Here is an 18,841-nt window from a genome sequence, read left to right on the forward strand (position 1 = left end):
AAGGCTTCATGTTGGAGATGGATGAACAACAGGCTTTTGAGGATGGGAGGGTCTTGAATGGACAGAACTGCTGAGAGTCTGATTTGGGCAGAGGGAGTGGCACATGCCAAGGCTCAGGTCCAACACTGTGTGCAGGGACCAACCACCCAGTTTGGAGGGCCACATGCATTTTGCAGAGATACAGAACCTGCGTTTGAATTCTGGCTTTGCTACCTACCGGTGAGGCCTTGTGCAGGATATTTCATATGATCAGATTGTCTCTTCATCTGTCATAGAAGAAGGCTAATATTTTCTTTGGGGGATTAAGGTTCGTGAAATATGTACAACGCAGCATATTGCCTGACCCATCTCAGGTGTGTAAAAGGTCAGCTGCTCATCTTCACTTTGGCAGGAGAGTCATGAGCTGTCGGCCTTGAATTGTATTGAAGGAAGTCGTGGGCTGTCAGCCTTGAAAGAGTGTGTGAGCCCATTTTTGCTTGTTGTTGATAAATGAATGTTATTTTTAAAATTCACTTATCCTGTTCAAAATTCATTTTTAAATGTTCAAATGGATATCAGAAAATAAGAGCTTAAATGCGGTTTCCTACCGTCTACATTTGAAAGTCTTATTTTCTGGTTCCTTGTAAATTTCACTTTGTAGTTCATATGATGGGGTGTGTGTGTGTGTTTCTGTGCACGTGTGCGCGCACACATGCACGGGTGGGCCTGCATACTCCCGTTTGGTTGCACCATTTTCCTTTTCTTCTAGTCCCAGCATCTTGCTTCACTTTGGAATTCCTAGCCAGAACACAGTTTGGGGGCTCTGCCGCTCATCCTCCTCAGTGACCCCCTCCCATTTGTTTTTCTCACTCCTAATTACTCACAGATTTTCTGGGTGGTCCATCTGCAAACTGGATAATGGTGGCGTGCTGCTCTCTGCACAGAGTCTATGCTGTCCTGCTTGGCCTCCTAAGCTGCCTCACAATTGTTCTCTTACAACCTTTGTTTTCTTCTTTCACACCTGCTTAGATTCCTGAGGGGTGGAGGGTAGAGACTAAGAAGTCTGTCTTCAGCTCTGTCCTCCCTTCTAAAGATCTTATAGACCCCCACCTCTTTGAGGGGTCCTGAGTGTTTTTGTCTCTTCTCACCCCTCCCTGTTCCTTCTTTCCTACCCTCATCTGATCTTTCAGCTGATTTGTGTATCTCTCTAGCTGTTAACCGCACAGGAAACTCTGTCAATATTTGCTGGCTGACTGACTGGCAATACCAAAGTCTAGTGAGGTGGTAGTGAGGAAAGGACGGTGACTTCAGTGCCAGATGAGCTGACACACTGGTGCCTGTGTGTCAGCTCGTGTGTCGGATGTGCACAAAGTGGCCACAGAGAGATGCTGACAGTCACCGGGCCTCCAGGGAGGGGGCAGTTTATCTCATTGCTTGAGAGTACAGCTAACATAGACTCACACATGGAGAGGCATCTGTGATGTAAGATTAGCAAATCTTACCCTTGCAAAGATGCACAGGCCAGGAGCCCATCCTCCCTGAAACCCACTCCCTCTCCTGCCTTCCTGTGCCAGCCAAGCCAGGGCACCCCCAGGGGTCCTCAGCATCCCTAACCCCAGGGGCTTACTCAGCTCAGTCCTGACAGCATTGCTTAGGGCCCCTTAAAGGACATTCTGCCAGGTCATAAAACCCAGGTCCAAGTCACTGGCAAATATTCTAGCAGTTTTTCTTAGGAATGTAACCACAGGAAGTAGAACAAAAAAAATCTGTATGCATTAATCTTTTTAGAAAACCCTCTTGTACCAAATTTACAATTACAATTTTGAAATGGTAGCCAGGGATTCTAAGTTTCTCTCTGTGCCTTTTATTCATTCAATAAAATATTTTCATCCAACATTTTATTGAACTTGTCTAAGCCTCATACTTTTATACTATTTTGATAAAGTTAAATTTTCATGAACATGCTTCTGCACTTTCTCATTAGTAGATCTTGTCTTCCAAAATCAACCTGTGGAATTGATACTTTAATAAGCCTGTTCTCATGAAGAAGCAGATAATGAGAAAGGGTGAGATCAGGGAATTAGATATCCAGAAAGCACAGTGAAGAAAGTGCTTTAGGGAGTGAATAAAATGTTTGTCTTGATTTTAGTTTGTTCTTCTTGAAGGAGTGTTTTTCACGATGTGGTGTTTGTGCGCCTTATAGACACTGGACACGTGTGACTGTTGGGGTTGATCAGAATACCTTTTCCCAAACTGTCTTCCCAGTAATCCCTACCTGGGGAAGCAGGAACCCCCCCGCACCGCACATGAAATAGTCTACCCTGCATGTCGTTATTTTGAGTGTCTAAACAATGAGGAGCTAAATGGAAGAAAATTCTTTGTTTTTTAATGTCTTGGTAATATCTTTCCTTTCTTTATTCCTGAAGTGTAAGCCATGCAAATTTCTTTCCTGGTGAAAGAAAATCTATCTGTGGCCACTCACTTTTACAGATACAATATAAACCGATGACGGCGTGTAAGATGACAGACTTTTGTTCCTTAATTTTTTTTGGAATGAGATAAGTGGTTGCCCTGTAATATTTTAGGTACAATGGCAAGCAAGAAAAAAAAGGGGGAATATATTTGTTGAAAACATCTAGTTTTTGAGTTATGCATAGCCTGAATAAACAAGGAGAGCTTGTTCTATTTCTAGATCACCTTTCACTCTGTTCATCCCAGTTGGTGGGAGTGGGGTGGGGTGGGGTGAGCCCAGGGCTGATATTCTCCATTGTCAAGGGTAAACAGACCCGGTTGCTGCCCCTGCCTTTGCCAGGAAGGCAGTGGATTATCTTCCCCTTAAGTGCTTTCCCTGGGTGTAGCTTACGCTGTGACTTTGGTGAAGGTAGCTGTGTGGCTGGTCTTAAACCTTCTGGCGAGCCGTCGCCTCGTCTCCCTTCGGTTTTGTGTTCTGTGAACATCTGTGCGTGGCCCTGTGACCCGGGGTAATCTGGACGGCCCATCACCGCCAGGGAATTCAGGAGGGAAACCTGACTCTTGCTCTGCGGCTTCCATTTCATCCAGGCTGCCTCTAAACAGGCAGGGCCCTGGTCACAGCCTTGGACAGGTGGCCTGGGATCCTAATGGAGCTCTCTCTGCCGAAAAATAGGAACAGAGCCTGAACCACAGCAGCAAGATTTCAGACAAACCAAAGATTGTTCCTCCACTCCAGGCAGTGCTCTCGAGTGCTCCTTTGAAAACCAGTCGTATTAAAAAAATGAAACAACACAAACTCCCGAATGCATTCTGAGTGAGTACTCAACTCAAAAATACCTGTCATGCTTTGATCTTTAACGGAAATCCTTTGATCTTTAAAACAGTGTTGAAAAAACTGTTTAGTATCATCACACCTCTAAGTCAAAATCAGTCCCACTGCCAGGCTGAGCATGTCGCTGAGCCAGCCTGAGGCAGGAGGGATGCAGGCCTTTTGCACCGGACTCCAACAATGACTGCGTCACTTCAGGAAATCGGTTTTTTCACAGTACTGGCCGTTGGCAGTGCACATGTGGTGCATCTCCCTTTTGCTTTTGTCCCACCTCTCCCACACTTTCCTCCTAAAATACCTATTATTGGCTTTTTTTCCAGCCAAAAGGATAGGAAATTAGGGCATCCTTTCAGCAAACCTCTCCAGGCCAGGTGGCAAATGTCTGCTTCCAGCACCTGGTTGAGATTTATTTTCCTTCCAGCTGCATTTTTTTTCCTCAGCTCTGTCATGAAGCAGAGAAGCGAGTGCAGACGGCGGAGACAGATGACCTGAGCTGGGCTCTAGCTTAGCTGTGTGGCCTTGGCTGGGTTATTAACTTCTCTGAACTTCAGTTTTCTCATCATACATTCGCTTTGAGGTTTAAATAAATAATGCAGATTAAATCTATAGCCTATGTAGATGTTCAGGAAGCGTCCCCTAACTGAAAAGCTGCATAACAAGTACATTTCACTGGCCGTGTTTACCATCTAACATGTAAGCCTGGGGAAGATGTGAATGCAGCAGGCTCTCCGAGTTGCATCGTCGGGGTGTGCCCCCTAGTCTGAGGTAAAAGGGAGAAATCTAACAGAATCCCAGGGACATGGGAGTGGTGTGGACGAATGGCCGTAGTGAATGTTGGATGGGGGTGTGGTGGGGACTGTAGTGAGTTCTGAATCTTGGTGGTCTCCTCAAGACAGCCTTTGGATTACAGCTTCAAGGAGCTCCTCTTTGTGAAGAGGACAGTGTACCCAGTCCAGGCTGTCCCTTCTGCCCCAGGATCTCTCGCCAGCTTACCCCTGTCCATCTGAGCTGCAGTCTGTCTGTAACGTCTATGCCGGTCCTTGCCACTCCTCCCCAGAACCAGCCCTTCCTTCGGAGTCTCCTGCTCCATCGGGATGAATTTTTCCCACACTGCAGACTCGCTCTCAGTGTCCACACTGTCCCCTCATGTCCTGCGCATCCCTGGGTGCCAGGTCTCGGCGTCTTCCCAGCATCTGCACAGTCATCCCCCCTGGTCCCTTGGGGTGGTGCCTGTCCCTCTTCACCCACCATCCCACAGCTGAAGACATCCTTTGTGAAGCACAGCCTCATCATGCCACCTTCTGCCCTCAGCCCACCACCTGCTGAGCCAGTGCAGACCAGAACCACAGTGATTTCCGCCTCTGCTTCTCTTCTCACGTGTGCGACCCTCAGCTTCCACCTCCCCTGTCCTCCCCACGCTGTGCCCTTCTGTGGTTGGTGCTACCCTTGGCTCTTCTTGATTGACTGGTTTTATACGATGGTGTTGCACTGTGTCCCAAGCACTGGGCCACACGTGGGCTACTCAGGGGCAGCAGGACAGGCCTTGTCCTGGGAACAAATGCCGTCCACCTCAGGACACACTCTCTGATGTCACCAACTTCCCTGCTGTGCTGATGGCAGCCTGAGCTTCCCTTAAAACACTCATTTTAAAAGTTTTATTTTCGACCGGTTGCGGTGGCTCACGCCTGTAATCCCAGCACTTTGGGAGGCCAAGGCGGGCAGGTCACGAGGTCAGGAGATGGAGACCATCCATCCTGGCTAACACAGTGAAATCCCGTCTCTACTAAAAATACAAAAAAAAAAATTAGCCGGGTGTGGTGGCGGGCACCTGTAGTCCCAGCTACTCAGGAGGCTGAGGCAGGAGAATGGCGTGAACCCGAGAGGCGGAGCTTGCGGTGAGCCGAGATCGCGCCACTGCACTCCAGCCTGGGGGACAGAGTGAGACTCCATCTCGAAAAAAAAAAAAGAAGTTTTATTTTCATTATTCAAATATTCAAGCATACATAGTAGTAGGGAGATGAGCACAATAAGCTCTTATGAAATCATTGCCCAGGTCCAATCATTATCAAGATTCGGCCAGAACTGCTTCATCTCACCCCTTCTGCTCAGAGTCTTTCTTTCCTGAAACATAAAGCAAATCCCAGGCATCACGACAGTCCACCTATGCTTTAGGAGGCATCTCTAAATATTCCACGAGACTTTATAACATCTGTGATACACAGCATGCTTGTTTATGTTATTAAATGTAGAACTCCAGTCCCCATGATCACATCTAACAAGTTAATAATAATTCCTTGGTATCAGTCAAACAACCCGTCCATAAAAAGACTCTCTGGATGCCTCAGCCCTGCCTTTTAGGATTGATTGATTTGTGTTAGGATCTGGGCAAGGTTCACACATAGCATTTGGTTTCTGTGTTCCTCAAGTTCCTCTGAATCTGGAGAACTTTCTCTTGTTTTTTTGTTTTGTTTTGTTTTGTTTTTAAGATACAGAGTCCCATTATGTTGCCCAAGCTGGGCTTGACTTCTGGGCTCACTCCATCTTCCTGCCTCAGCCTCCCAAGTAGCTGGGATTACAGGGATGTGCCGCCATGCTGAGACCTGTCTTCCTGGTTTTTAATGCCATGGACTTATTCATTATGCTCCACTTTATTTTTTTATCATAACACTGATCCCCACATGCAGCAAATGAAAGTTTCCTCATGTGCAGAAAAGGCGATGAGGCCTCAGAGAGATGGAGTCACGTCTGCTCAGTGTCACCCAACTAAAGAGAGGCAAACCTGCATCTTCTTACTTCAGGCCTCTTTCCACCAAGCCAAGATGTGGAGAGCCACCCAAATGCTTGCATTTGCAATTACATCTTTATTAGAGAGACTGGAAAGCCACGGAGCCCCCAGAGAGACCAGGAGGGGTGCTTACCTTCTAGCATGGTCTGATGAAAAGGGTCACAGTCTGCTGTCTGGTGAAGCTGCGTGCAAAATCCAAGGAAGCTAGAGAATTGTAGTTGCATGTTGTTGTCTTTTAGATCCCTACATGTAGGAAGAACTTGGACCAAGCAGAGAAATCATACCCTCCCCCCAAGAAATGCTGAAGCCAAACCAGCGGACAAATTCAGAGCAAATAAAGGGAAAAGAGTGTGTGAAAGCGGCTCATTTTGTTTGTTTGTTTGTTTGTTTTTTGAGACAGAATCTTGCTCTATCGCCCAGGCTGGAGTGCAGTGGTGCGACCTCAGCTCGCTGCAACCTCTGCCTCCCAGGTTCAAGCAATTCTCTGCCTCAGCCTCCTGAGTAGCTGGGATTACAGGCACCCGCCACCATGCCCAGCTAATTTTTGTATTTTTAGTAGAGACGGGGTTTCACCATCTTGGCCAGGCTGGTCTTGAACTCCTGACCTTGTGATCCACCCCCACCCCCACCCCCCTTCCCTGCCCTCGGCCTCCTAAAGTGCTAGGATTACAGGCATGAACCACCGTGCCCAGCCGCAGCTCACATTTTGATATGGCTCAGGAAAGAGAAGCCTTGCTAAAGAAGCCAATTTCCACCCACAGTCACCTTCGTGGAGCCTAGTATGGTCTATGAAAAAATTAATTGAATGCGTTTAATCTTGTAGAGCAAAGAACCTTGGGCAAAGCCTAATGCCGGCAAACATTTTAGTTGAGACAATGGGGAGAGTTCTTAGGAGAACAGCTGGAGAGCCAACGACGCTCCCAGGCAAGGCCAGTTAAAGCTCTCGCCTTGCTGACAAATACTCGCGACAGGTGAGGAAATGCATTAGTGGAACAAAGGGAGTGAATGTGGCAGGAAATTACCGAAAGGCTGCCCGCATGACCCAGCCGGGCTTCTGGTGACTGTTTGCATCCTGGGCACAGGAAGGAGAGGAGGAGGAAAATAAACTCTTCAGGAAGTGAAACACCTCATTAGCATTTAGTTAATGCCTAAGCTGCCTGTGTCAACTAAAAATAATTGATTCTCTGTTATTTTAGGAATGTTGAATTCCAAGAGCCTGTTGTTGTTGTTGTTGTTGTTATTGTTCTTATGGACCGATGTTTAATAATTAGAAAATTTTTAAATTAAATACCAGATGTCATTTATTATTAAGCATCTTGTTCACCTTTAAAACGGTGCTGTGGCTGTATCAGAAATCTAATCAGGAGCTTAGCTACTTGCCCAGTGCTGCGATGAAGAAGTGCAGCATCTTTAGAAAATGCCTGGAGAGAAAATGGGAAGAAGTGTCCTCTTGATGGAGGGAGGTAAGTGTGGAGAGACCATCAGTGTTAGCGGTTTGCTAGTAACACGGCCTCAGGCTGTATTTCCAGGATGACTTGAGTACATTTCCTTTTTTGAATTATGACTTAAATTAGTTCCATGTCAACTTTCTCTATTTGCCAACAAGACTTTTTTTCAAGAACCATTTTTACTGATGAATTTATTCTCAGTTCCAAACAAAACTAGTGTGGACAGCTAGCTCACTGTATCCCTTTTTAAGTAGTGATGAAATATTTTAATCTTTTTGGGGAGGATAGTTTTATTTAACCCACTTGAGCAGCAATAGAAACATTTAAAGGTAGATTTGCCAAAAAAAAATTGCCATTGTATAGGTCACATAATTTGAATAGTGATATTATACATTCCAGGCGGGGATTAGTTCTTCAGGAGGTTCTGGGATCTCTTTGCTAATCGCTTTTCTCCTGCGTTATCAGTGAGTTGTTTGCTTTTCCCTTCGGCTTCCCGTTTTGCCTACCTCCAACTGTGACTGATCTCTGAGAGTAAGACATTCCAGCCTGAAAACAAACAGGCAGGTACACCCATCCTAAAATTGAGTTACAATTTAGATGTTATCTGGGAATAACCGGATTCTACTGTTCATTTCTCAATGAGCCTCTCCCTAAATTCTTACAAAGGCGTAGAGAAGAAGTGTAGACTCCCAGGCCCCCCAGCATTCAGGGTTAAAGTGACTTTGTAGTGCATCTGAGAGAACTGCTGGATCCCTGGGACGTCCTGGACTGTTACAGGCAAAAAGAAGACTCAGGAGAGGCCGGGCGCGGTGGCTCACGCCTGTAATCCCAGCATTTTGGGAGGCTGAGGCGGGCGGATCACGAGGTCAGGAATTCGAGACCATCCTGGCAAACACGTTAAAACCCGTCTCTACTAAAAATACAAAAAATTAGCCGGGCTTGGTGGCGGGCGCCTGTAGTCCCAGCTACTTGAGAGGCTGAGGCAGGAGAATGACGTGAACCCGGGAGGCGGAGCTTGGAGTGAGCCGAGATCGCGCCACTGCACTCCAGCCTGGGCGACAGAGCGAGACTACGGCTCAAAAAAAAAAGCCTCAGGAGAAATGCTGGATGTTTTTTATTCATATTTGATGGCTGCTTTTGCACACTACAGCACAGAGCATGTCCTCCCAGGCCCCTGACGTGGTCTCTGTCACTAGACTAGTGACTAGTCTCTGTCACTAGTGGTCTCTGTCACCATTTATGTATACACTAGTTCTGTAAAGCCAGCACTTGGAAAGCCAGTCAAGGTCCAGTTAGGTCACGGGTGAATGACATCATTGGCCTTGTGGTTGAGAGGAACTTGGAGAATATGTAAAAGTTATCACCAAGAGATGGTCATTGTAGCAGGAATCACTGCATTTAGCAATAGATTTATTGGATTTTTGGAAACATTTCTCTATTAACAGGAACAGAAAAAAAAATTATTCTTGGGTTTAAAAAAACCTGGCATGGATCTCATGCTGGTGTATCTAAGAGTAAATTCTTCTGTAGACCAGGACACGTGAATGACTGTCACAGAGCCTGGATTGTTAGTGATTCAGTGAGTCCCAGTTAAGTCTTCCTTTTCTAATAGGGCAGTGATAATATGATTATTCAGTGTTTATTCTCTTTCTCTGGCAATTAGGATTGGCTCAAGGCCCCTTAGGTGGTGGTAATTGGGACTTCACAGTTACTAATGAGTAAACATGTTGGCCTCATAGCAAATAGAACCAGTGATTGGCCTAATGTGGGGCGAGTCATTTATGTATCCACGCAACAGACATTTATTAAAAACGGAGGAAGTGCCAGGCCAGACTCCGGCCTAGAATGAGAGAGGGAATTCCTATTGCTTTAGAGCTCGCCTGGTAGTGGGAGACAGTGAGTGGTGGCTCCTGGGAGGAAAATGAACCAGAGGACATAACGGGGAGTGAATGGCTGGGCTGGAGCAGTCAGGGAAGCCTCCTAAGATGACACTGTCGGGGAAGAAAAAAGTCATGTCTTTTCCTCATCCATTACAAGGCTCATGGCTGACACTCCTGTAACAACAGTCAGAGTAATCAGAGAAAAGCGTAACAGACTTATTTGTCAAAGTTTTTTGTGACATGGGAGCCTTCAGAAATGAAGATCCAAAGACCCAGGGAAAACCGTATGTATTTTTATGCCAATGAAGAACGGACAGTCATGCAAAAATGTGATTGGAAGAAAAGGGGGTAATTTATCAAGCATGGGGAATTCAGCAAGACCTGTCTGTTGTGACTCTGGGCCTCTTTGTGCAGCCTTCCTTCCCGCTGGGTGTGGGGCAGGACCACTGTGGAACGCAGGTCTTACGGCCTCCTCTCAGGGAAGGAAGGTCAGTGAGCACCTTCATGACTGTGCTTCCCACTGAAAGGTAGGGAGGATCAGAGCAACCCTCTTGCTTCTGAGGCCTTCTCAGTCTCCTTCAGTTCACAGTGCTCAGGGTCATATTTTCTGAGCCATGACAACATTTAAACTGAGACCTAAACAGGCAGTCAACCAAGAGGAGATCTGGGGAAGGAACGTTCCAGGCACCAGAATTTGATAAGAAGGCCTGTAGGGGGAGTGGGAGGGATGCTCGGTGTGACCAGTGCCTGGGAAATGCATGACAAAGTCATCTAAGAGATCTAAGAGGCAGCAGGAGCCAGATCACACAGGCCTTTGTGAGCAGGGTCCTAGGGCATTGGATTGTAGCCACCAGGAAACATTTCCATGGGAGGAGTTTAAGCAAGGGACATACATGACACAAATTTTTAGAATGTGTGATTACCATACTACTTAAAAGCCATAGAATCCCATTCTCAAAGTTAAAAATTGAGTAAAATCTCTAGCCAGGCACGGTGGCATGCACCTGTATTCCCAGCTACTCAAGAGGCTGAGGCAGGAGGATCACCTGAGTCCAGGAGTTTGAGGCTGCAGTGAGCCGTGATTACAGCGTGTGAACAGACACTGCACTCCAGCCTGGGCAACATAGCAAGACCTGGTTTCTAAAAATAAAGAAAAAGTTAAGTGAAACCTCAATACTGTATATAAAAATACACAAAATATTTATTAGTATGAATTTATGATATGTGTTCAAATTAAGACATTTATTGTTCTAAAGTCAATTGGCGTTAGCAATGAGTTGATTTTTCAAAACGACAAAAATTAGAAGTGAGTGTTATGGAAGACAGTTTGCTTTATATCATCTCTATATCTAGTTTACTTTTGTTTTGTTTTGGGTTGTGTTGAGAAAAGCCTTGAGGGATAAAGATTAGTTGCCAAGTTTGTGTTTTCATACTTTGCCTTGTGACCTCAGACTTTCTCATTTTTGTTCTTGATTATATTTAACTGTTGCTTAAGTATACAAGTCATACAAAGAAGGAACCAACAGTTTGTGTACACACTGTCTCTGAAATCAAAATAGCATCATGTGATAATTGATCTCTTGTTATGTGACTGACATAATATAACAGTCACATGTTCCACACAGACAGGAACATGGATCAGGTAATGCACTTTGTGAGAATAGGCTAGTTGCCAGTATTATTTTATGTGAATGGACACGTAAGAATGCTTGTTTGAAAAATAGCAATATGTAATTACAATTACTAATTACTAATCAGTGACCTATTTGTAAAATCAAAAATAAGAACTTTTATTTAATCTGAGATCCTGACAGAAGCAAGTTAACTTGAAAATATCTCTGGATTTCAATATATTAAGATTTTATATGTATTATATGAAACAATTCGTATGTTCTTATACTAATTAAATATTTTTTAAAAATATTCAATGTATAAAAAATGCAATTTAAAAACGAGTGGCTGAAAGAATAGTAAACAGCACTGTAATCCTAAAAGCTTGTGTTAACTTTACATTTCAATTTAGTCACAAAATACAGATGGATACATTCCTGAAAAAATGTGAAGTCTTTAGTAAGAATAGACATTTTTGAGAGAGTAAGGCACATTTAATTATTTAATATTATACATTTAGTTTAGGAACATAAAATGAATAATTTAAAATTTTAATGATTTTAAAGGTATAATTTAAGAGTTGTACATGTGCTCACTGAATTTACTGATAAATACAACTTTTCATTACTAGTGGAATCAAAAATTTTTAGTTCTCCCATATCTATTTTTTTGGCCAGTTCATCAGAAATACTCAAAGATTTTAGATGGGAGAAATTTTAGATTCTTAAGCTATTTCTAGAATGATGGTGGTTTTGTTTCTCAAAGCATTGATCTGTTGCCCAGACCTTTTGCCCTTCTTGCTCTGTCTCACCTATTCAGAAAGCACTTGCTCTTTAAAAAAGAACTGAGGACAGGAACTGGCTGAATACACTTTTGTCATATGGAACTTTGGGCTTATTGTCTAAGCTATCATCTTTTCACCATCCTCACAAATCTGTTGAAAACTGAAGACTCGCCTGTGACAAATTCCTTTTGCATGTTCCCAATTTATGCACAGTGCTTTTCACATGACGCAGAAGATTGCAGACACGAAAGCACTCAAAAGCAAAGAGACACCGGGGCTGGGTGGGGCACAAGCTTGCTGCCATGTTGCCGGACAAATTGGTTGTATTCTGTGATCAAACATCTAAAGATATTCTGTACACTGGAGCATTTGAGACACAGTGACATTTCAAAGTGAAATCCAAGTGAGCTTTTTTATTTGATAACCCAGAGAAATGCAGTGGCCACACATTTCTGCTCCATTTTGGCCTCTGCTTCTTGGACCCATAAACTATGTGATTGCAATGCAGCCAGCTGGAGATAACATTTCTGCTGTGGCGTCAAGGTTTTTCACTTTAGTTTCTTTGGTATTTGGAAATGAAAATACACCTATGCCCTCAAAAACAATTTATTAATCTTTGTAACTGTACTGTTTTGCAAAAAATGTCTACAAAGTGCACCATTTGATTCCAGATAAATAAATTTCTTTATATGGATCTTCAGGCAATTCTTCCATTAGGCATAGCAGACATCCTCATCTATGTGCCTCAGATTCTCTGTTCTTTTTGTTCCATATAGGATGTCTTTTTCTTCCTTTTTATGTAATATTCTCAAAGGATATAACCACATCATTCCATCAAGTTTACTTCATGGTTTGTGTCAATGCATTATTCTTGCATTTGCTTCTTTCTGGAACACAGCAGTTTATACCATGTTTAGGTTTTATGTTTTCTGACTTTTGTTCTTTTGTAGCTCTGTTGGAGTGAGTCCAACTTATGACATCATTAGCAATGTTTTGTAGGCTCTGGGATGCACCTTCTGTGTGTCTGCTTTGATTTTCTGTGCTGCCTTCATGATAGTGTCCACAGAAAATAATTTTACATTCCTAAAACTGATATATATTCAGCAACATTTTTCATTTACTTACACCATGAAGAACAACAACAAAAGAAAATGAAGTAACAACAGCAAGTGAAAAATCAGATAATAGAGCTAGCAGTAAAGTCTGTAATTTGTTCTCCCAAAACTTTGTTCACCCAACTGAGAGGAGCACAGAACATAATGCACCTGGTTTTGTCTTCTACAAACCATTAACCATTGACATTCTAATCCTTAAAAAAAAATTGCACATAATACCTGCTGAGCAAGTAGCATTATAAGTTTTTAAAAATGCCTGTGAGTAGGCATATCCTGTTGTAGAGAATTATGTTCTAAAAGTACATTTCCTTTATAGAACCTTGGTGAGTTTTCTCCCTAATCTTCAGGGGTCAACTTGGATAAAACTAGGGTTTCTGAGAACTTTCCAGGCATGGTTCCTTTCTTGTAGTTGTGAACTTAAAGGTGTAAATATTGTCATCCTTTATGGAGATGTGAATCCAGGCAAAAGCATGTATCAAACCCTTGCGATTTGCCAGAGGTCAAGCTGAGCATTGAAGAAACAGAGAAACAGTAAGGTAATGATGACAAATAGTAGACAGAGAATGGGAACACAATGTGAAAAACATTTTAATAAAGTGATGAGTGACATTCCAGAGTGCCCAAGGAAAATTAGAATTCCCAAGCAGGTAGTGAAGCAGGGGACGAGAATGACACAGCTGATATAAAAAGTTATCTGGAGCCTGGGTGCAGTGGCTCACACCTATCATCCAAGCACTTTGGGAGGCCGAGGCAGGAGAAAGACTTGAGGCCAGGAGTTCAAGACCAGCCTAGGCAACATAACGAGACCCCCGTCACTACAAAAGTTTTAAAAAAAATTAGCCAGGTGTGGTGGTGCGTGCATGTGGTCCCAGCTACTTAAGAGGCTGAGGCATGGGGATCGTTTGAGCCCAGGAGTTCCAGGCTGCAGTGAGCTGTGATCGCACCACTGCACTCCAGCCTGGGTGACAGAGCAAGAAACCGTCTCAAAAAAAAAAAGTTATCCAGGAGTAATGAAAAGTTTGGTGTGATGGGAGCTGAGAGTCCAGAAAGGTGCTAAGAGGGTAGGTTGGAGCTGGGCCCAGTGGCTCATGCCTGTAATTCCAGCACTTTGGGAGATGAAGGCAGGTGGATCGCTTGAGGTCAGGAGTTCGAGACCAGCCTGGCCAACGTGGTGAAACCCCACCTCTACTAAAAATACAAAAATTAGCCAAGTGTGGTGGTGCACACCTGTAATCCCAGCTACTTGGGAGGCTAAGGCACGAGAATCGCTTGATCCCGGGAGGTAGAGGTTGCAGTAAACCAAGATTGTGTCCTCTAGCCTTGCCGACAGAGTGAGACTTTGTCTCAAAAAAAAAAAAACAAACAAAAACAACAAACAAAAACGAAACAAAACAAAAAAACAAAGAGGTTAGGTTGGATAAGTAAGTGAAGGCCAAATCATAAGACCTGTGATGAAGTTGGGGCTGTATTCTGTAAGCCACGAAGAGTCATCAAAAGCCTCACTTGTGAGAACTAGTTATTGAATGAGATCCTGTGAGTAGAGAATTTATCAAGATCTCGGCAGCATGATCACGCAGAAACAAACAGAAACAAAGGAATGTGTCACCAGGATTCCTCTCTCATGCAGGGCTGTGTTAGGACACACATACTTCATTTGAGATTGTTTGGAAAGTCACCTCTCACCCCCACTCTAGAACAACTTACATTAGAGAAACGTTTTCTTACAGTGGCCTCACACACACCCTTTTGAGGAGAAATGAAAAGCTGTAGTTTAACAACCGCCTTACACGTAAGAACGAAGGAACCAAATGTGCAAATTTAGAATGACATTGCATTGGGCTGACCATAAAGTACCCTCCATCCCCAGGGCACTGCTAATGCGGAGAACGTGGTTTGTCATACAAGACCTACTGGGTAGCTGTTTATTTAGTAGAAATAGTGTATGCTGGTTACAAGAATGGAAAAGAGAATAGAACTAAAATTACTATTATCAACTACATCCAAAAAGCACACAAAAAAATAACCACTAGGTGTATATCTCAAGGTCAGAAGGCCAAAATTAAATAGCCAAGTTCTTTCTTTCTTCTTCATATCCTTTCAGTTCATTCTCTCTGCTGTCACCCCACGCATATACTCATGGTTCCTTAAAGTCTTTCCTTGGGCCAGTGGTTCTTAAAGAACTCTTATGTCAGTAGAAGATGCTTTCAGTTGCCGATACCAGAGACCTCACTTCAAACTGATCTTCAGGATTAGAGAAGCACCTAGCTTGTTTAATTTGAACGTCCCGCTGGGGGGCAGTCATGGTCGATCAATCCCCAGCCAGAATGTCATCAGAGACCCACCAGTCTCTTTCCATCTTTTCACTTTGCCCCCAGTGCTTTATACTGAGTCGGGCCCATGGCCCCTGTGGAAATAACAGGGAGGTGACCCAAAGTAATGGGGACTATGGGCATCCTTGTTCACCAGTGGAGAGGGTGTGTTTGCCCTTGACAACCAATTGACCGAAGTTACTGTTCACCATGCTGGAACCACCCTGAGCCAATCCCTACAGTCCAGGAAATACCATGGTGGGTTGGTTTAGACTTGGATTACCAAAACCTGTCCATGTAGGAAGATTGGGGTGGGGGTATCACTGTGACTATCCATGCTCTTCAGCAGTGAGGGAAGAAATGGATGTTGGAGAGAATATTCACATGTCTCCTTCAGGCCTCTGAGAATTTCATGAAAGCCACGTGCTATATCCCTGTGTGTTAATTTTGCATTCAGTTTTTGGAGGATTCACTAACCCACTGAGGACTGTCATTCTTTTTTTTTCTCTTCAGCTTCATTGAGGTATAATTGACAAATAAAAATTGTATGTATTCAAGGTGTACAACAGATGGTTTGATAGACGTATAGATTGGGAGATGATTGCCACAATCAAGCTAAATACATATCCATCACTTCACAGTTACCCTTGTGTGTGTGGTGAGAACACTGAAGATCTACTCTCAGCACATTTCAAGTATACAATACATTATTATTAACTATAATCATCATGCTATACATTAGCTCTCCAGAACTTACTCATCTTAAAACTGAAAGGTTATACCTTTGGCTAACTTCTTACTATTTTTCTCACTTCTTGACCCCGGGTAACCACCCTTCTTCTCTTTGTTTGTGAGTTTGACTTTTTATGGATTTCACATACAAGTCAGATCATGCAGTGTTTGTCTTTCTGTGCCTGGCTTATTTCACCTAATGTGAAGTCTTCCAGGTTCGTCCATGTTGTCACCAATGGCAAGATTTCCTGTTTTATGGCTGAATAGTATTCCATTGTGTATATGTACCACATTTTCTTTATTCATTCCTCTGTTGATGGACACGTAGGTTGATTCCATATCTTGGTTATTGTAAATAATGCTGCAGTGAACATGGCAGTGCGGATGTCTCTTCAACATACTGATGTTGTCCCCTCTGGATGTATATACCCGGGACTAGGATTGCTGAGTCATATGCTTATTCTCTATTTTTGAATTTTTTGAGGAACCTCCATACTGTTTTCCATAATGGCTACACCATTTTACATTTCCACCAATACTGTAAAGAATAAGGACCATTCTTTACCTTAGAAAAATAACATTGCTTCCCAGAGGCAGAAGTGCACCTTATTCCTAGATTTCAGCACTCTCTGTACTGTTTATCCATTCAGGAGGAACTACAGTGATCAAACACTGGAGATAAATAGTGGTTTTAAGCTTTTATTTCATAATTTTTACAGATGATCTAGAGATAGGCCAAGTAATAATATGTAAATAATTAATTTTAAACATTCAGCTCATTCTTTAAAAAACTCATAGCCCAAATGTTTGTTGGTTGTTTTTTTCCACTGGGAAAGGACGGGGAAATGTAGTTTCCCACTCCTGCGCCCTGTATGTTGTTATATTTTACCATGTCTTTCATAGCAGCCTCCCATCATTGGTTGCCGTAAATCTTTTCACTGACTGTGAGGTACCAAGAGTAAGGTAATTTAGCCAAATTAGTCAGGACAGCCTCACTTTGTGGAGCCCAGGTGAGGCTTTTCAATAAGAGCTGTTCTTCCAACTGGAAAATGCCAACAAGCAACAATGCAGCCAGTCATCTTATTTTGAAGTTTTAAAAGAAAGGGTTTGCCAGAAATACTGGGAAGGTTTAGCAGCTGTTCCACCTGGAAGATGGCAAGGTTCTTGACCTGTGAAGGACCATTTGGCATTGTCTGTCCATGTGCTGATCAGTTTTAAGTAAACCCTGCACTGAAGCAATGAAGAAAGACACTGGCAAAGTCAGCATGCTGTTGCCTCACTCCCCGTCACCACTGTGAAGCCTCCTCTTTTAACATAAGGCCCAGAGAGGATCCAAGATGTTGCCAAGACCACCTGTAGCCACCAGCCATGCAGGGGTGGGGTCATGTTTCTTAACCCACAGCAACACAGGTGATAGGCCTGGTTCTTGATCTGGACAGCCTTCGCATAACACCAGATAACTGAATGCTAATTTTCCTTTCCATTTACCTTAAATCTTAACAGTAACACAACTAACAATAAAAAAGGCACCATGGGATGTGTCCTGCTTGTTCCACAAAGAACTTTTTCCCAGGTGTGGCCTCCCTTGAAAAATGGCTGCACCCTTGGATTTCTTCGTGTGGCTGATTTGCAGATCCATTAGTTACATTCACCTTTGGCTAAAGGCTATGGGATAGTTGATTTACTTTGGATGATGCAGTATTTTTCAAGAGAAGTTTTCATATATTTAGCCCAACTGCTTCGCCACAAGAAACAAAGTCGTAAGTATCTATACAGGTTTACAGAAAATGAAATTTTAGCTCCAGCTACAAAGCGGCTCAGCCAGTTCATGGAGACTTGTCACAGGTTGGTGACTGAGAAGGGTCCACCTGAAACACTTGCATGTCCAGGTCCAGCTGAGCATGCATGCCAGCCTCAGCCGCTGGGGTCCCTGTCTGGTCCTGCAGCATCACGTGGCTCAGATGGCATCTTCGCTGTGAGTGCGAAGACGCTGGGCACCAGCACCTGCACAGGCAGATGGTGAAAGGCCCCCAACTCTCTGGTAATGAGGATGGCAGCCATATGCTTTCTCATGCATCCAGCTCAGCCTCCAACCTACAATACCATAATGATGACATGTGGGAAAGTCTAGGTCCCATGCCACATCCCAGTTAAAATGCATGCACTGGAAAAGGGAGGGGAACTCAGCTGCACACACATTACTTTTTTTCTATGGCCTTTTCTGCATCTACCCAGGACTTAATTGCTAATACTGCCTCCCTCCATGTGGGATGAAGTGGGAGAAGGATCACAGGAAAATACTTCCACCCGTTTGCTGTGGCAGGGCTAGATTCCAAAGTGCCCAGGACTGCTAATTCATTCACCCCTTTGTGACAGCTTATTTACCCACACCCCACCTTATTTCCAAAAGGACTCCAAGTAGCTCAAGAAAGGAATAAAGAGCTATAGTTAAAAAATAATTTCTCAAAGTCCTCTGCCTGTCTCCATGGGCTGGGCTGAACTTTGAGTGACTCACCCACCGTCTGAAGTCCAAGAAACAAATACCCTAGGCTGAGATCTGGAGATTGTTCTATTTGCAATTCTTATGGAGGGAGTTATTATATTCTCCACTGATTGGGCAGTGTGTTTTCCCAGAGAGACAGCATGAAGCAGGCACCTGCATCCACTTTATTCTTTTCCTCTTTGTGAGTCTTGCACGGGCCGTCAGCCTGTTTGTGAACTCTGGCAGGACATGGAGGTCAGCCTGTGCCAAGCACCTTGAACCCTCATTATCTTTAATTAGTGTTTAGGAGGTTAATCGGTGGTGAAGCTCATCTTTCTTTAATTACTTCAACAATTCAGTCAGGGGGTCCCTGCAGCCAGCTTTGAATTATTCTGTTTGTTTGGATGCTTATTTG

General features: G+C 43.7%; 1 protein-coding gene and 1 long non-coding RNA gene across 10 annotated transcripts in view, besides 4 other annotated features; one reads left to right on the forward strand and one right to left on the reverse strand.

The window, feature by feature from the left end:
* The window catches only part of ATP8A2 (ATPase phospholipid transporting 8A2), a 653,878-nt gene that overhangs the window by 598,375 nt on the left and 36,662 nt on the right, over positions 1-18,841 (forward strand). The window lies entirely within an intron of this gene.
* Positions 4,065-4,604: an enhancer, noted in NCBI's record as "H3K27ac-H3K4me1 hESC enhancer chr13:26548551-26549090 (GRCh37/hg19 assembly coordinates)". NCBI's record gives its function as "activates a minimal SCP1, AML or CMV promoter by ChIP-STARR-seq in primed H9 embryonic stem cells {active_cell/tissue: H9 hESC(primed)}" and the evidence as "EXISTENCE:reporter gene assay evidence [ECO:0000049][PMID:30033119]".
* Positions 4,605-5,143: an enhancer, noted in NCBI's record as "H3K27ac-H3K4me1 hESC enhancer chr13:26549091-26549629 (GRCh37/hg19 assembly coordinates)". NCBI's record gives its function as "activates a minimal SCP1, AML or CMV promoter by ChIP-STARR-seq in naive and primed H9 embryonic stem cells {active_cell/tissue: H9 hESC(naive and primed)}" and the evidence as "EXISTENCE:reporter gene assay evidence [ECO:0000049][PMID:30033119]".
* LOC105370122 (uncharacterized) lies at positions 5,232-7,156 on the reverse strand. 2 transcript variants are annotated; one of them, XR_941764.3, is made up of 3 exons: positions 7,088-7,156; positions 6,199-6,269; positions 5,232-5,401 (listed from the first exon to the last, which is right to left on the reverse strand). It is a non-coding gene; the product is annotated as an uncharacterized LOC105370122 (long non-coding RNA). The 2 variants fall into 2 exon arrangements; XR_001749797.2 differs by having other exon boundaries at positions 6,199-6,308.
* Positions 6,507-7,450: an enhancer, noted in NCBI's record as "OCT4-NANOG-H3K27ac-H3K4me1 hESC enhancer chr13:26550993-26551936 (GRCh37/hg19 assembly coordinates)". NCBI's record gives its function as "activates a minimal SCP1, AML or CMV promoter by ChIP-STARR-seq in naive H9 embryonic stem cells {active_cell/tissue: H9 hESC(naive)}" and the evidence as "EXISTENCE:reporter gene assay evidence [ECO:0000049][PMID:30033119]".
* Positions 8,403-8,954: an enhancer, noted in NCBI's record as "H3K27ac-H3K4me1 hESC enhancer chr13:26552889-26553440 (GRCh37/hg19 assembly coordinates)". NCBI's record gives its function as "activates a minimal SCP1, AML or CMV promoter by ChIP-STARR-seq in naive H9 embryonic stem cells {active_cell/tissue: H9 hESC(naive)}" and the evidence as "EXISTENCE:reporter gene assay evidence [ECO:0000049][PMID:30033119]".

The sequence above is a fragment of the Homo sapiens genome, chromosome 13 (genome assembly GCF_000001405.40).
Source record: "Homo sapiens chromosome 13, GRCh38.p14 Primary Assembly".
NCBI lineage: Eukaryota > Metazoa > Chordata > Mammalia > Primates > Hominidae > Homo > Homo sapiens.